General features: G+C 35.5%; 1 annotated feature.

Annotated features, from left to right (window-relative positions):
• Window positions 204–1,000: an enhancer, noted in NCBI's record as "OCT4-NANOG hESC enhancer chrX:43201432-43202228 (GRCh37/hg19 assembly coordinates)". NCBI's record gives its function as "activates a minimal SCP1, AML or CMV promoter by ChIP-STARR-seq in naive H9 embryonic stem cells {active_cell/tissue: H9 hESC(naive)}" and the evidence as "EXISTENCE:reporter gene assay evidence [ECO:0000049][PMID:30033119]".

The following is a 1,408-nucleotide window of genomic DNA, read 5'->3' on the forward strand; positions in this document are numbered from 1 at the left end:
TATATATTATATTTGTATAATACCTTACGGTCAAGTAGCTGTCTATGTTATAGACAGTACTCTGTATCTTGCAGTCAAATTAAGCTATTTAAAAACTCCTCTCTGCCATTAAGTAATTGTTAGCATGGACAAGTAGCTTGATCTTGCTGAATCTCAGTTTCTAAATCTTAACTAACATGCAGGATTATTGTGATAATCAGTTATCAATTATTTTAAATGCCTGACACTTAACAATCATTGTGCTGTTTTGGAGAAGAATCACACCTTATATTAACATTTGAAGGAGTGCGGGGAAACTTCACCCCAAAAAATTGTCCCCTGGTATAATTAGTATTTTGAATTAAAGGCCCTTAGCAATCAACAGACACTGAAAGAGACTTTTTCCCTATCTACATAAAGACCTCATGGACCCACTAAGGAGAACAATTGTTTTCCCTTTCCCTCCCTGTTCTCTCACTATCTACTGCAGAAAAGGAGACCAAGAATTTACATTACACCTGAACAGATTCCTTAACAAGATAACATATGTCTCTCAGGCTCATTCAATTTCTAAAGAGAACCATTTACAAGTTAATCTCTGTTCCTCAATCCATTCATTCTCCCTGGAAATCATTCATTGGCCCCCAGTAGAGTTACTTATATTCACCCACCCTGAAATAAGGTTATATAAGTGTCTGGGCCACATTGGGATACGGGGTAATCACTCTATGGTTCTCCCCAGTGTGAAGATTAATAAATGTTTATGCTTTTTATCCAATTAATCTTCTTTTGTGAGTTGATTTTTCAGTGAACCTTCAGAGGATGAAGGGGAATTCCCCCACTCCACTTGGCCTCTACAAAATAATTTCCATGCTTCTATGCACGAGAAAATGCTATACTGTGCCAATTGCAACACAGCTAATACACTCAAACACTTTATAGAGTAAACTGCCAGTAATCTCAAATATTATTCAATCTAGGCTTCACACCTTATTTTGAAAAAACAATTTTCATTTATACCTTTGATAGTTTGAAAAGTTAAATACCTGTGCTGGGCTTATAACAAAACAAGCAAACAGCAGTCCCTACTCTCCTTTCTACTCTATTTTCCAGAGGGTTTTTAGCCATTTCTTCTGTTTACCTCCATATTTCTGAAAATTATGTCTCTACTGTTTATCTTTGATTTGTCTATGTAGGAGCCCAAGATATGCCATCCCAAAATATCTCTCTTAGGCAGAAGGATTATTTTGAGCTGATTATTTTGATAAACTGGAGACACAGAAGAAACTGTAAAAATAGAATAAACATTAGCCTTTTGTAAGAGAAATTTTACATCTATAAAAGAAATCTCCATTTCTAAGGGTGTCTCCCTCTCTATACCAGGAGGAGAGGGAAGGATAAATCACTAGAGATTCTTATCAATTGAAAA

The sequence above is a fragment of the Homo sapiens genome, chromosome X, assembly GCF_000001405.40.
Source record: "Homo sapiens chromosome X, GRCh38.p14 Primary Assembly".
Classification (NCBI taxonomy): Eukaryota; Metazoa; Chordata; class Mammalia; order Primates; family Hominidae; genus Homo; species Homo sapiens.